The 15,412-nt window shown below is 48.7% G+C and overlaps 1 protein-coding gene and 1 long non-coding RNA gene across 3 annotated transcripts in view, besides 3 other annotated features; both read right to left on the bottom strand.

Annotated features, from left to right (window-relative positions):
- TXNDC5 (thioredoxin domain containing 5) overlaps positions 1-13,744 on the bottom strand; it is a 29,272-nt gene extending 15,528 nt beyond the window's left edge. The window contains exons 1-3 of one of the 2 annotated variants that reach the window (NM_030810.5): positions 13,470-13,744; positions 7,530-7,679; positions 2,532-2,637 (exon numbers count right to left, since the gene is read on the bottom strand). In NM_030810.5, the coding sequence (NP_110437.2) occupies positions 2,532-2,637; positions 7,530-7,679; positions 13,470-13,732 (519 nt within the window). In that variant the 5' untranslated portion in view covers positions 13,733-13,744. Of the gene's footprint in view, positions 1-2,531; positions 2,638-7,529; positions 7,680-12,768; positions 13,034-13,469 lie in introns of those variants that run through there. The other variant, NM_001145549.4, reaches the window with a different exon arrangement.
- BLOC1S5-TXNDC5 (BLOC1S5-TXNDC5 readthrough (NMD candidate)) overlaps positions 1-15,412 on the bottom strand; it is a 183,165-nt gene that overhangs the window by 15,795 nt on the left and 151,958 nt on the right. Inside the window, exons 5-6 of the long non-coding RNA NR_037616.1 lie at positions 7,530-7,679; positions 2,532-2,637 (exon numbers count right to left, since the gene is read on the bottom strand). This is a non-coding gene — a long non-coding RNA (BLOC1S5-TXNDC5 readthrough (NMD candidate)). The remainder of the gene's footprint in view (positions 1-2,531; positions 2,638-7,529; positions 7,680-15,412) is intronic.
- Positions 12,819-12,908: a silencer, noted in NCBI's record as "silent region_16891". NCBI's record gives its function as "represses an Ori minimal core promoter by ATAC-STARR-seq in GM12878 lymphoblastoid cells {active_cell/tissue: GM12878}" and the evidence as "EXISTENCE:reporter gene assay evidence [ECO:0000049][PMID:35858748]".
- Positions 13,109-13,228: a silencer, noted in NCBI's record as "silent region_16892". NCBI's record gives its function as "represses an Ori minimal core promoter by ATAC-STARR-seq in GM12878 lymphoblastoid cells {active_cell/tissue: GM12878}" and the evidence as "EXISTENCE:reporter gene assay evidence [ECO:0000049][PMID:35858748]".
- Positions 13,599-14,028: a silencer, noted in NCBI's record as "silent region_16893". NCBI's record gives its function as "represses an Ori minimal core promoter by ATAC-STARR-seq in GM12878 lymphoblastoid cells {active_cell/tissue: GM12878}" and the evidence as "EXISTENCE:reporter gene assay evidence [ECO:0000049][PMID:35858748]".

A 15,412-nucleotide genomic window follows, 5' to 3' on the forward strand; every position in this document is an offset into this window, starting at 1 on the left:
AAACTTGTTCCCTACATCATTACTGATGATGGAAAAGGTATAAATAACCTAAATATCCACTGACAGAATTAGAGTTGAATTATGGCAAATCCACATGATAAAATAATATAAGACATGATCAACATAAAGACCACATAAATATATAAAATCATTAATGAGATGAAACATGTTTGTATAACTGTTCAAGAAAAAATACAGAAGCAAACATGGAAATACAAAAATTGCAGTAGAATGTACAAAGTGACAAATTGTCTTTTGAGTTTCTTGAATATTGCCACAACACTTAAAAAAATCTAAATTTATCCCACGTGAATATTAAAAAATGTATGTACTAAGTTACTTAGGTATACAGATAAAGAACTTTTTTTAAAGTTTTCACTTAAAAAGCTAAGAGAATTCTGGTTTGCAGTATAAAGTGTATATACTTAAACTTTTCCACAATAAGGCGCATTGTCATTGTTTCTGGCAATTATCTGGGGCCTGCTATTGCTGGAGACACTAAAATATGGCAAGTTGGTGACTGTGGTTCTGGGGTGGCATGGGGGGATTACACGCGGCCATCCTGCTCCCACACTGAGGAGACAGAAAGTCCCTTGCAGAGCCTGGACGCAGCCTCTCAGCCCTTTCCAACCTGCAGGTGAGGCCGCCACCTCCACTAAGGGAAATGGGCCATGAGATGAGGTCTTTCTGCCGTCCTGATACTGGCTGCTGGTTTCTTGAATAAAGCCATCATAGAAGACTGGCTTTTTTGGTGAAATTTATTTGAGGCTATTAACTCCTCCTTAAAATTGGTTTGCTACCATCCAATATATGTGTCCCCACAAAGAGAATATTTTCACAAAGGAAACAATGTCCAATTGAAAACTATGAAAGTCACACCTGCTCATTCAGCTTTCTTGCCAGGACAAAGATGCAAATTTCCTGAGAGGTCTGTGGTTCTTTTAGCTAAAGTTAGGTAAGTCTCTGGTTCAACGACATAACATCACACACCAACAGTCTCCACCATACAGTTCAGAGAGTTTTTTTTTTTTTTCCACGATAGTTTTTGCTCTGTTGCATAGGCTGGAGTGCAGTGGCATGATCTCGCCTCACTGCAACCTCTGCCTCCTGGGTTCAAGTGATTCTCCTGCCTCAGCCTCCCAAGTAGCTGGGATTACAGGCACCTACCACCTGGCTAATTTTTGTATTTTTAGCAGAGACGACGTTTCACCATGTTGGCCAGGCTGGTCTTGAACTCTTGACCTTGGGTGATCCACCCGCCTCAGCCTCCCAAAGTGCTAGGATTACAGGCATGAGCCACCACACCCAGCCGAGTTGAGAGAGTCTTTGCAGGTGAGGGATGGAAGCACTGAATCAGCAGCCAAGTTTCTGATTAGGTCATCAGAGAAGATGGGGCAGAGCGGAAGAGCCGCACAGACACACTGGAAACTGGCAACAGTAAGCGGCAAAGCTCCAAAAGGACCACCACAGACCACCTTCAAATCAGTGGGCGCTTAGCTGATACAAGAAGGTAGTCTTAGGTATTTGTTGAAATTGAAATTACAAAGACTTCAGATGCTCTTCCTAGCTCATCAGGATCCTACAGTGTAGGAACACGAGTGTTTTTCCAGTCCCTCTCCAACACAGCAGCATGACCCACCAGGTCTACCCGGCATCCAGGGACCTGAGCACTCGGCATTAATCAGAAGGCACCACCCACAAAGGAACACTTAACCAGTGGTTTATGATCATGATGATTTATAAAAAAGTGAAGACTTCCAACATCAACTGGGGAGGGGGAGGATTATAAATCCTTTTTAGTACATAATATTCTAAGAGTCTACAATCTCCTGATATTAGCCTTAGTAAGGGAAGTGCATTAAGACACAGAGTATTAATGGTACAAAATGATGTTATAAGCAAAGCCCATTAGAGACTCGGGGACTGAGCACCGAGAAGAAAAGGAAGGATCCACCCTACGGGTACAGCTGTCGGGCTAGGCCCGAGCCAGAGGGCTGCAGGTGGTGGAGGGCAAAGGTCGGGGGGATGGGAGGAGGCTCCAGTGCTGGCTTGGATAGGAGATTCTAGGCTGGGCCCAGCCCTGACCCCAGGTGGTCCAGAGTCAGTCTCTGATGCTGGGGTACAGTTGTGAACTGTATTACCTGTGACAGTGGCAGGGTGGCAGTGTTAACAAAGAGTAAGTGCTTATCTGTGAGGCCACACAAGTGACTTCCCTGAAGACTGACTACAGCCAAACAAGGCGCAGGGTGGTGGGGAAGACAAACACCAAAATGGTGGTAACTGCTGAAACTCAGGGTTTAGCCTTCTCTTGACTTTTGTGCACATTTAGGTATTTCCACACCAAAAAGTTTCTGTAAAAGTTCATCTTTACCTGTAATACCAATAAGCTCCAAAAAAAGTAGAGTTGCTTTAAAATGGCAGCCTTAATCATTAACCTCAACTGGCCTCTGCCCCGTTACATATTACCCCAAAGATGTAGGCAGGGAGAGAGGGAGGGAGGGAGGGAGGGAGGGAAGGAGGTAGACACTCACCACTGGCTCCTCGTTCAGTGTCTGCAGCATCCAGTTTTCCAGTGTCTGGAAGTCCCGAGGACCCTGGTACTTCACAGCTTCTTGGCCTGGCTTGAAAAGCTTTAAGCTGAAAGAATAACAAAGGATTAGACAGAGCAAAAAGAAAGTTGTCTTATCAGAGAGCAAACTCATTTAGTGAAACAATCAGAAAATGAGCTGTCAAGGGGCTGCAGCCAGGCATGTATCTGCTCCTCTCTGATAAAAAGGAAACAAACATAACGTTCCAGGAGATAATACATTCAGTTAATCCTAAACTTTCAGAAGTTTCTGGTTTTATTCAAGGAAAACTAAAATGAGGTGAAAACTTCCAGCCCGCTGCTGTGACTGAGGCCTCAAAAGCTACAGTACTCAGTGCTCCTCTGCAGCAGCCTCGGGCCTTCCCTGCAAGCTACTGTTATGCTTTCCCGGCTTCAGCAGTTGTTGTCTGTGTTCAAATTAGGACTGGAGCAGACACGGTGTTGTTTTGCAATTAAGGTATTCTTCCAGGCCACCTGGCAGGTATTCAACTCTTACAAGGCCTGAATATCCAGTTACTGTGAGAATTCAAGTTTCCAGCTATAAGAACATCCTTGACATTGACTGATGCTGTCCATTCACCTTCCCATAGAGAAGGAATCTTTTCTTTTTCCTACAAATGTTGGCCTCTGAAGGAATCTGCAGAGAGGATACGGGAGTAGGTCCTTTAACCATAAGCAAAAGACATCACCAGAGGATGAAATTAACACTCAGTTCCTGTATCCCTCCAGCAGTCACGGGAAAACGTGCTCTAATACTCTAGATAAAAATTCATAGAAGGTGTCAAGGATAGGCAAAAATGTGACTACCAATAGAAGAAAAAAGAAATACAGAGTACCATTTGTTAGCAAGCCTGCTCATCTAAACACCCCTGCCACTTCTACAGCGCGTATGTGGATTTTGTGAGTAAATGCCCAATGTACGGTATCAGAATTGTAAGACGGCAACATATGTAAAATCTGACATGAAGGTTTGAATAGTGTCTTAGTTCAACGGCTGTAACAGAAGACCACAGATTGGGTGTCTTAGAAACAACAGAATCTATTTCGCCTAGCTCTAGAGACTGGGAAGTCTGAGATCAAGGTGCCAGCAGAGTCAGTGTCTGGTGAGGGCTTTCTGGTTCACAGATGGTGTCTTCTTGCTGTGCCCTCACATGGCAAAAGGGGAAACAGAACTCTCTGGGGCCTCTTTCATAAGGTATGCAACCCTATTCATGAGAGCTCCACCCTAATAACCTGCTCCCTCTCAAAGGCCCCACCTCCTATTGCCAGCATTGGGGATTAGGATTTCCCCTATGAATGCTGGGGTACACACACATTCAGTCCAAAAAAAAATGGCTAATTCTCCTTAAAATGAAGTCACATGGCTAGATTAGGCTTTGAAATTAGTATCAGCATACTGGCCTTACCCAGAACCTAAGATGGTATGATGGGGCATAGGTAGGGTCCCTAATGTGTCTCCAGTGCAGAATATACACCCAGCTTCCTCAGCAGCTCAGACTCTCATAACCACAAAAAACAGCCAAAACTTAACTAGATTTGGCCAGTACACCGGCTACGTCACGAAGTTCAACATGATAAGCAACTGCAACATCTGCGGTATCAAAGATGATTGCCCTCACCTAGCCTGGCACCTCCCCAGGCTCCCACAAGGTGTGTTCCGCACCTGGAAACAGAAACTGCTTCCTGCACGGCTCTGCCTCCCGCTAACGCTCTTCAGGAAGGGAAATGGGTGGATCCTCAAGACATCAGAAAGGACCAGGGACGGTCACACTTGTGTCTTTGCTAAAAGTAAAATACAGTAAGACCTAGCCTATGATTTTTTTGTAATTTGCTATTCATTTGCAAAACAAATAATTTAAAAAAAACCATCTTCTTGTTGTTGGACTGATAATCGTTCTAACCTGCCCAGGAAGTCTGAGATTCTTCCTCGGTAAGTTCACAGAGCCCAGGGACAGAGCGGACACTTCTGGTCCAGACCTTGCAGTGAGTTTGGGACATCTGACTTCAATTCTCACTGTCGACAGGGGTGAGGGAGGTGATGGAGACTGGGCCACAGGGTACAAGCCCAAACAAAGTATTGCCCCAGATTTCCGCTATTACCAAGCCTCCACATGGGCATTTGAGTCTCCTTTTTCAAGGAGACTGCAGGGAGAAAATCCCCATGTAGGTACTGCCTTGGCAAACAGCATGATGAAAGTTCTACTACCGTAGACAGTGTTATCAGTTGAACTGTGTCCTGCAAGACAGATCTGTGTAAGTCATAACCATCAATCTCAGAAGGTGACCTTATTTAGAATAAGGTCTTTACAGAGATATTCAAGTTAAAATGAGGTCACTAGGATGGGCCCCAATCTAGCATGACTGGTGTCCTTGTAAGAAGGGTTTGGACACAGAGAGACACACACACACAGAGAGAGAAGGGCATGTGAGGACAGAGGACGGCAGTGATGCATCTACAAGCCAAGGAACGCCAAAGATGACCAGGAAACCAACAGGAGCCAGGACGAGGCAAGGGAGGATTCCCCTACAGGTTTCAGAGGGAGCATGACCCTGCTGGCTCCTTGATTTAGGACCTCTGGCCTCCAGGACTGCAGAGAATACATTTCTATTGTTTCTGGCCACCCGGTTTGTGGAACTTTGTTACAGCAGCCTAGGAAACTAACACAGGTAGTTCCCCCCGTCAGTCCTGCCCTGCTGTAATGATTCATGACTGGCCCAACAGGAAGACCTCAAAACATTTTCCTGAGCACAGCCAGCCATCTCTAGGGAGCGTGGGAGCCCAAACTCCCTGCCCCTCCAATCCTTTACTCCAGTTACACTTGCCAGGAAAGAATAACGTGAAAGCTCATGTCCTGACACATGCCTGGACTCAGGCAGGTACAGTCGTCACCTGCCTCGGGCCTCACAACCACTCTATGGGATGGGCACTTGTCTTAGAGGAGTCAAAGCTCGCTCAAGTCAATCTACAGATGCCCCAGTGCGACCACATTGCACACAGCACATTCCACCTCCTGCATTCTCGGGGGGAAAATAATCTGTTCTTGGAGCTTCTGCAGGGCAGTGATGGTCACAGAGGTTCCTTCCCAAACTGTGTTCAGTGTGGTGTACGTTCATTTTTGTTCTTTTTAATAACACAAAACCAGCCATGGTTTACTTGGGGAGACCAGCTCTTCTCATTAAAAATCTAAACACATGATCCAACATGGGCCTTTTTAAATTTGTGACTTTTTACATTTGTGACTTTTTAAATTTGTGATGGTTTTTGGTGAATACCAACTATGGAGTAGCTGATATTGCAGCTGACAGCTGTTATGGCCAGGCTGAGGTGGAAGCCTTCACTTCCTTCTCTGAAGCCCCATAACACATACCACTCTCAGCTCCATTACAGGTCCTGTGTCACCTTCCCTGTGGCATGGTGTGTGATGCACATAGTCTCAGGCCACAGATGGTCAGCAGGTTAAGAGGAAAGACACCACAGCCAGCTCACCCCTGCTGCCCCTGAACTTTGAAAGCAACAGTTTCTCAACAGGTAAGCATTCACCTCCTCGCCCTCATCTCTGCTCACTACCTGCTTCTTTGGGATGCTCTTGATCCATACTTTCAATGCAATACTATAAAGCATAGAATAGTTAATGCTTTTACGTAGATACAGATAGTAAGCAATTTTATCTCCATTGATCTGATTTAAAGTAAACCCAAATTATGGCACTTACATTAGCAAGCAGTCACCAAAGACCAAGAATTCCAGGGTCCTTTGTGGAAACGCCCACATTTCCAAATGGTAGGGAAAACCCTAACATGTATTGGGTGTGCTCAGATTGGTGTCTGCACACATTCCATGTAAGTCCTGTAACAATGTTTGGGGGATCACCTTACTTACAGGTTAAGTGATGAGGTCAGAGCTGGGTGGTAAGTAAATGGTAGAGCTGGGATTTGACTACGACTTCTAGGTTCAAGCCTGGAGATCCCTCCACTTTTCTGCCTCCCAGGTTTGAATATAAGCTCCAATTTTTTGCTTTATTGATGGACCCCTATATTATTCAATTAAGCAATAAATTGTATAGAATTGACTTCATTCCTCAATTGAAACAAACAGCAAGGAAGTGACCGTGGCAATCCCTCCACCTCCTTCAGAAACAGCTTCTTCTCTTTTTTGAAGAACTGCTTTTCCCTCCAACACTTGGCACATGGTGTGAATGGGCATGTGTCTTGCTATAAGCTCCTGTTTCCCTGGCCACAGTGACTATTCCTGGAACGAACATTCCAGCCAAGCAGGGCCAGTCAGTGGTGGGCCCTTCTGTGCAAACAGAGATACAGGCCTGGAAAGCCGTCATCTCAAGGGAGGTGCAGGAGAAACAGACCCCAGGCCCCTGGAGCTGGCTCTCAGAGGTTCCTCCACAGCCTTTTAAATAGTCCTTTCTTTCTGTTTAATAAGAGAACAATTCTATTTCTAGAATTGAGAACATTTCAATTTCTATTTCTTATAACCAAAAAAATTCTTAACTGTCAAGGAAGTAAGTATCATCGTCTGTCAGACTCTATACTTTCTTTCCAACAGGAACAGCCCTGTGGGAGTCACACGGGAAGGAACTATAGGAAGGGTGTTTGCGAATAAGTCACCAGCAAAAGCAAGCCAAAACTGATGACAGTCCATGCACACTGTGTAAAATGTACCGGTGAACATCTAGCATGGCGGGACCGTCATTTTTCTCTTGCAAACACATTCTCTTATAAACAGGAAAACCCAACACTGATGAATTAAAGGTTATCCAAGTATAAAAGCCATCTAAAACAGACACAGCATTAAATGCAGTTTCTCCCTAATGACAGGGACTGCCTGCTTAAATTTAGTATCTCTTCACACCTTTACCAAAAGTTTAACTAGGACTTTCTTTGTAGCCAGGAGCCACCTAGGAAGTGTGCCCCCTTCCTTCCAACTTACGTGGGGTATCCTCGCACCCCCTGGGCGGAGCACACGTCGGAGTGGGCCGTGCAGTCCACTTTAGCCACATAGACTTTGGCATCTTCCATGCTGTTGTATTTGTCTCCCAGGTCATTCCAAGTCGGCTGCAGCCGCTGGCAGTGTCCACACCTGGAACAAGGCAAGAGTACAAGCACATTGAGTATCAGGTCACAGGGCAGCTGGCCCACAACTTCAGCTCTGTCCAGGGGACAATGGGGCTCTCAGTCCTTTCTTTACACCATTGCAGATGGCAGCTCCTGGACCAGTACTCCAGGACCTCTCTCCCCTGCTCCCATCCCTCCAGAGTCACTGCCCTGTTCTCAGCATGAAATCTTGGCCTTGTTCCAGTATTAAACTTAGCAAAGTGTTGTTCTGGATCCTAGTTGTTCTGGCCCTGCTGACCTCCCGCTTGACTTCTATCCCAGAGTCCACCCTCCTTCCCTTGTGGCCTACTCCTGAGCCCTACTGCAGCATCTGCAGTGTTCCCAAAGGACTATAGCTTGGCTTGGCCCTGGGACACATTCTCTCTGACACTTCGTCCCTAAACTCCACCTAGCTAAATCTATCTGCCCTTCAGGTTTAGTTTGGGTGTCACTTCCTCTAGCAAGTTGGCCCTGACTCCCCGGGCTGTTCAGCACCCATTCTCTTCTCCTGCCCTTCTGGAAAGCCTCTCTACTCCTCCCTTGGACAGTAGCTTAGCACTTCCTGCTGTATCTGCTACTTTTATTCGTCAAGTCTCCTCCACTATATAACCAAATGGCTACAAACATAAGGCAATCTCAAAATTTAATCACCTGCAATTTTCTCCAATGAGAAGGGGAAAAAAAAAGTTTGTGGCCACCTATACTTCTAGGGTTGAAGTAAGCAAATGTCTATTCTTAGTATTCATTGTATGAATTCAGTTATGTATAAATATTTTAAAATCACCCATCATTTAAAATAGTATCTTAACTAGGCTTCTTGCCATGCTTCACATTTCATGAGGATATCAGCATCTTTCCCAACACTAGACCTTAAGTCATACAGCTGACCACAGCTCTTGCTGTGTTCTCTGGACAGTATGTCTACAGTGCCATACTCGAATTTTGAATGAGACAACCCTAGAAACTTTATCCCAGGTTTCAACTACAATCCCATAGCATTATGACACATGGGTTTGTTTGCTATTTAATATGGCAGGAACACACTGATGCCTACAATGTAACCACTTTGCTGTATCGCTTTTTAAAATGCTTTTTTTTTAAACACACTTGCTTATATGAACACTCAACGCTTAGAATTGTGACTTCTTCCTCAAAATAATTTAATAATCTGTTAAATCTCCTTTTATTTTCTGACAGATTACCTCAAAAATAAGCATTTAAGTCGGTAGCAGTGGCTCATGCCTGTAATCCCAGCACTTTGGGAGGCCAAGGCAGGAGAGCTGCTTGAGCCCAGGGGTTCAAGACTGGCCTGGGCAACACAGTGAGACCCCCATCTACAAAAAATTTTAAAAAATTAGCCTGGTGTGGTGGCACACACCTGCAGTCCTAGCTACCTGGGAGGCTGAGGCAGAGGGATCACTTGAGGCCAGAAGTTTGAGGCTGCAGCGAGCTATGATCACACCACTGCACTCCAGCCTGGGTGACAGAGATTTTGTCTCTTAAGAAAAAAAGGATTTAAGCCGGGTGTGGTGGCTCACACCTATAATCCCAGCACTTTGGGAAGCCGAAGCAAGCGGATCACAAGGTCAGGAGTTCGAGACCAGCCTGACCAACAAGGTGAAGCCCCATCTCTACTAAAAATACAAAAATTAGCTGGGCATGGTGGCACACGCCTGTAATCTCAGCTACTCAGGAGGCTGAGGCAGGAGAATCGCTTGAACCCGGGAGGCGGAGGTTGCAGTGAGCCGAGACCATGCTATTGCACTCCAGCCTGGGCGATAGAGCAAGACTCCATCTCAAAAAAAAAAAAAAAAAAAAAAGAAAAACAGACTTAAAGGTAGCACTGAAAAAGTCTGCTTCAAGTTAATGTGTCTTCCCTAAACAGCACTTTCTTGGCCAGCTAAGAGAATCCCTGCTTTATGAGATACTCAGATACAAAAAAAAAAGCACAATGAAACTATACATGCAGATTTAACTTCTGTAGATTCAACAAAGTGAGTTTATGTGGCGGGGGAGAAGGAAACAAGAAAAAAAAAAAGGCAATTCCCACAGAACCCTGAAGTGTGTGCAAGCTGGGAGATGTGAGGTTTTTGTTCCTCAGCAGGCCTTGGTTCCTACATGCTTCTCATGGCATGAGCATCTCTCCGACTACATTAAGTGTGACCCTGCTGTCTAAAGGCACAGGTTTGAGAACTAGTCCATTTGGTGTTTAACCAAAGAAGCCATGATAGTTCTAATGCTGGAGGAAACGCTGGCAGTGGGGACTGACTGACTGACTGGGGCGGTGTCCAACAAGGCACCTTCCTAAGGGACTGTCAAGGGCAGTTCTGACCTTCAGGGGACTTTGATCAGATATGCTCATTCTGGAACTTTAGAACTCCTCTGCAATCTTGACAAGGTTTTGTTTTGCTACTGCTTTTTTTTTCCCTTTTTTTTTTTTGAGAAAACACAAGATTAGATTAAGAATGAGAATAAACAATAAATAAGTTTGTGGTGCGCTAAATCAAAACTGACCATTCTGGGCCATCACCAAGTTGGGCGTGCCCTTGCTCCTGGCTGTGATGGGGCCACAGGTGCTATCTAGTCGGCCCTGCGGCTACAGCACCCAACTCTGAGACAGGCAGCTGCACTCAGAAGGTAGCCTGTGGCCAAGAAGTAGAGCAAAGCTACCTGGTCCAAATCTTGACCTCACTGTCACCAGGTTCAGGGTGACTCACAAACTGGCCATACAGAAGTTGTGACCTGATGTTGGCAAAAAATCTACAGCAGCAGGATAACCCTGCAGAAGCCAAGTGCAGGGCAAAAATACACAGATTGATGTTTTTGTTACAGGGGCCCCAGCCCCTTAATCACACGTGGGCTTTCACCACTCCACGGCAGCTGAAACTGGAAAAAGGTATGTGTGTGTTGAGGGGGAGTCCACTGAGTCTTCTATCTGAGCTCCAAACGCTCAGCTCACCACTCCAGGACCTCCTTCCCTCTCCTGCATAGACCCCTCCAGAGTCACCACCTTGCTCTCAGCCTTACAACTTACCAAAGTGTTGTGCCAGGTATTGTTGGTCCTACTTGATCTTGCCCCTGCTGACCTCCCATTTGACTCGCCGCCCACTCAGCCTCCTTTCCTGGCAGCCTATTCGTGAGCCCTACTGCAGTATCTGCAGTTTTCTGAAAGGGCCCTCTTAAAAGTCCAACTTAAACACCATCATAGAAACCCACATATCTCTGTTTAAGTATTTGTAGTAGACTATCAAGAAGTCAACAAATATGCCAGGTGCGGTGGCTTACGCCTGTAATCCCAGCACTTTGGGAGGAAGAGGCGGGCAGAACACGAGGTCAAGAGATCGAGACAATCCTGGCCAACATGGTGAAACCCCATCTCTACTAAAAATACAAAAATTAGCTGGGCGTGGTGGCACGCACCTGTAGTCCCAGCTTCTCAGGAGGCTGAGGCAGGAGAATCGCTTAAACCCAGGAGGTGGAGGTTGCAGTAAATCAAGATTGCGCTACTGCACTCCAGCCTGGCAACAGAGCAAGACTCCATCTCAAAAAAAAAAAAAAAAAAAAAAAGTAACAACATAAAGCTAATTATTCTGGAAGCATCCAGCTAAATGTCTACAAGCCACATATAATGGAAAAGGAATTTACTTAATACCAAGTGCCCAGATGTGCCAGTTTTCTCTCACTCAGCCCAGGACTAGCTGGTATTTATTGCAAAGATTCTAAACTTAAAATTCCTTTGGCACTGTGGGGACTTATTACATCTGCATGTCAGTTTTTCTTTAAAAAAAAAAAAAAAGTAAAGAATGGGATGCGATGGCTCATGCCTGTAATCTCAGTACTTTGGGAGGCCAGGGCAGAAGTACTGATTGAGGCCAGGAGTTTGAGACCAGCCCCGGCAACATAGCGAGACCCTGTTTCTACCAACTACAACAAAAACAACAACAACAAAATAAGCTGGGTGTGATGACCTGCGCCTGTAGTCACAGCTACTTCAGAGGCTGAGGCAGGAGAATCACTTGAGCCCAGGAGTTAGAGGCTACAGTGAGCTGCGGCTGCGTACCACTGGTTTCAGGCTGGGTAACAGAGCAAGATCCCATCTCTAAAATAAATAAATAATGAAGAAAGAAAAAAGAAAACCCATCGACAGATGTATTCCACTGAAATAGGCTCCAATTAAGTAGTACACTTAATTGAAATAGTTGCTGAGAATACTCCCGAACAAAGAGAAACTGTTAATACTGCCTGATTGTTTTATGTTACAAAGTAATTTCTAAACCATTGGAGTTGTAAAAATTCGAGTCAGTTGGTTCTTAGGAATGTGAAACATAATGTACTTCATATACACATTGTTAATAAACCCACAGTGGCCCTAAAAGTTGATTTAACTCCAAATGAACTGAAACGCAGTAATAGCCTGAATACAAGGTTAAGAGAAAAACGTTTCTCCCAGTTTGAAAGGTACAATTTCTGAACTGGCCATTTTTCTTAGGGTACCTTTTCTCTATGCCTCCCTACATCCCTTTCCCAAGTGAGCCTCTACTGAGCTCTGGGGAAGAATACCAAGTTCTGCAACAAGAACCTGCAGGCTATTCCAACCTCTCAAAGGTCTTGTGTCCTAAAATTATGGCTTTCTGCTCTGGCCTGTGGTCACTTCCCTTCCTCGGGGCATCCCGGCACTGGCAGGAAAGCTGTGCACATGCTTGTGTGAATGACAGGAAGCTCTTCCGTGGGATGAGTGCCAGGGTAGGGTCTCTCAGGTCAGCAGCGAGGCCCACACCAAAGCCTCGCCCAGAGAACCAAAGCAAGAGGGACCATCTGCTCAACGGAGGGGCTTTTCCGATCTCACACATAACAAGTGACCTGGACCCGAGAGAGCAGCAGGGAGGTGACAGGACAGCCTGGAGTTGAGGACCAGTGGGCTCCGTTCAGAGATTACATCCACCCTGAGCTGCAGGGGGGCGGAGGGGTTCCAGAATTCGCACTACCTTGGTCTTCCCGGGGTAGCTCAGCAACCCTCCTCTGCCCGGACCACTCCTTCCTATCCCACAAAAGACGCACAAAGTGGGAAACCACACCTTCCTGGGTTCTATTTTTCAGTTAAAGCCTCTGGAAGGGGACGTGCCCGCAGTCTGTCCCAGCCGACCCCGGTGGCCGCGGCAGCAGCAAGGCCGCTCTGGTGAGTGCACGTGGCCCACGGGCAGGCCGCGCGTCCGGCCGGCACAGGAAGTTTGGGGCGCTGGGCAGGGACCGCGGGGTGACATTTGGACTCCCGGCTGCCCGAAAGGGCGACGACCCCACCTTCCCCTCCCTCGGTGCCGAGGTGCAAGAGGCGGTTGAATTCAGGAGCGCGGCGCAGGGCGGGCTTTTCCCGGCTGTCCCCTAGGGGTCCGCCCCCTCCTCCCGCACCGCCCCGGCCGCCGAGCGCCACGTCAGCCGCCAGTGCCCGGCCCGCTGAGCTCACGCCTCCCGACCCGGAGCCCCAAGCCCTCGGTCCCCTGCAGTCCCCGGCTCCCGGCCCCGAGCCGCGGCGCCCGCGCCCCCCGCTCCCCGCCAGCCGGAGCCCCGAACCCGCAGGGTCCCCGCGCTCCCGGCCCCGCGCCCCCAGTATTACACCCCGCACCCCTGAGCCCCGAGCCCCGCGCCCGTAGCACGCACGCCGCAGACCAGAGCCGTCGGCGTCCACGTGGCCCCGGGACCCCCCGCCCGCGGCGCCCAAGCGCCCCACGCCCCGCGAAGCGCCAAGTGCGGGGCAGGGCGCCGGCCTGCGCGGCGTTACCAGGGCGCGAAGAACATGACGAAGTGCGCGGCGCTCTGGATCCCGTGCGTGAACATGTCGGCCGTGTACAGGTGCTTGCTGTGCGGGTCCTGTCCGTCCTCGCCGTCTGCCGCGGGGGGCCCGTCCGCCGCCGCCGCCGCCGCCTCCTGGGCCCGGGCGCCCCAGCGCCCGCCGCCGCCATGGCCCAGCAGCAGCAGCAGCAGCGCAGTCAGGGCCGCCGGCCGGGCCAGCAGCGGGAGGAGGCGTCCTGGGCGCGCGGGCATCGCGGCGGGGCTGGGCGCGCTCTCGCCGCGGCCTCCGGTCCCCTCGCAGCGCCCGCCCCGCGCCCCGCCCCGGAGAGGCCGCGCCCCTTCCTCTCCCCGCCCGCCCGCGCCGGCGCGCGACCGCTACCCGCCCGAGCCCCGGCTCCGCGCACCGGCAGGGAAGGGCTGGAGCGAGGGACCGAGTCTGGGAGAGCCTTCCGAGTCCGGCCTCCTGCCTTCCCGCCATGGGACGGCTCGCCCCAATCCCGCGAGGCTCCTGCGCCTCCGCAACCCAGGCCCGCACCCCTTTCCCCAGGGGCCCGCTCTGCTCAGAGCGGCGGTGAACACACGAAGTAACGATGAGGCCAGCGGGAAGCCACGGAGGGGCAGGTCAGCCTCGGCTAATCTCAGCTCACACAAGCACCCCGCGATTTCAGGCCAAAGGAAGGAGAGAGCTGCTGTCAGCAGAATATAGGAAATCGGGCAAAAGACGGTGGGGTTTGCACCTGAATTAGTTAGATTCTTGGCCAGAGCTCAACTGTGATTCTCGACCTGGGCTCAGAGGGGTGATGAAACCCGCTTCCCAAGTGAACCCCTTGCTGGTTACCCCTGCCCGGCCTCAACTCAGGGATGAAGAGGAAAGAAAGTCAAAGCGGCCTCTTCTAGACAAGAAGGCACCTAGCAGGACTGACTGGGGTCCTACTGTGCCCTCATTTATGCCGGTTACTAAAATGAATGACAGCACGCCTGCTATGGCTGAACTCAGCCTGTGGAATGGCCCGAAGGCATCCCTGCCCAGCGACTCATAACTCGCACCTGCACACACACCTTACAGCAGATGGTAATCGAAAGCTCCAGCCCTACCCCGGGGATCTGAAGCTAAATTAGAATCACCGGGTTGCTCTCCGGGATCCTGCCTGCTCTTTGATTATCCTCAATCCAGGAAGCCCCAGGTAGTTAACTCCTGGCTTGGCAACAGGGGACGCGCCCACTGTCTCACCTGTCATTATTCTGCTCCCGCCTTAGGCCCAGCCACTTATGAACCTTTAACCATGGGTTGCCAAACACCAAAACCATCAATCTCCCTCCAAAGTCTGTTCTTCCAGCCACTTAAGCTTGAAACATGGGAGGCATCTTGTATTGCTCGCTCTTTTCCCGTGTGTCTCAAAATTCAACCGCATTTCCTGTAACCATGATTTCCTTCCAGCATTCTCAGTGTTCATACCCTGAACGGAGACTAAGCCTGGCCTATTGCAGTAGCTTTCTAAGAGTCTCTTTCATTCACATGGCTGGAAAATTAATTTTCCTAAAGCCTGCCTTTGACCAAGACAGTTTGCTGCTTAAACTTGGACCAAAACGCCACCACTGTCCCCATGGCCTTGGCCGATGGGGTGAAATAGTCATGCCTGGGGCAGCCATTCAAGGCCTTCCGTGATGTGGTTGCATCATGCTTTGTGTCCCTGTGAAACTCACTCAACACTAGAAATCCAGGGATTCTCTCCAATAACTGTTATTGCCAAACTCTAATCCCTGTGTTCTCCAACACCTCAAACCTCCCAAACCCTTCCACGGTGCTGTTGGGAAATTCCCACAAGCATCGCCATACACTCTTACAGCATCAGTGTCTTTCGTTTTTAACTGAAACACAGTTCTAGGAGCTCTCTCAAGTGTTGGCTGCTCATTCTTTCACACCTGGAGTCC

Source organism: Homo sapiens, chromosome 6 (assembly GCF_000001405.40).
Source record: "Homo sapiens chromosome 6, GRCh38.p14 Primary Assembly".
NCBI classification, from domain to species: Eukaryota; Metazoa; Chordata; class Mammalia; order Primates; family Hominidae; genus Homo; species Homo sapiens.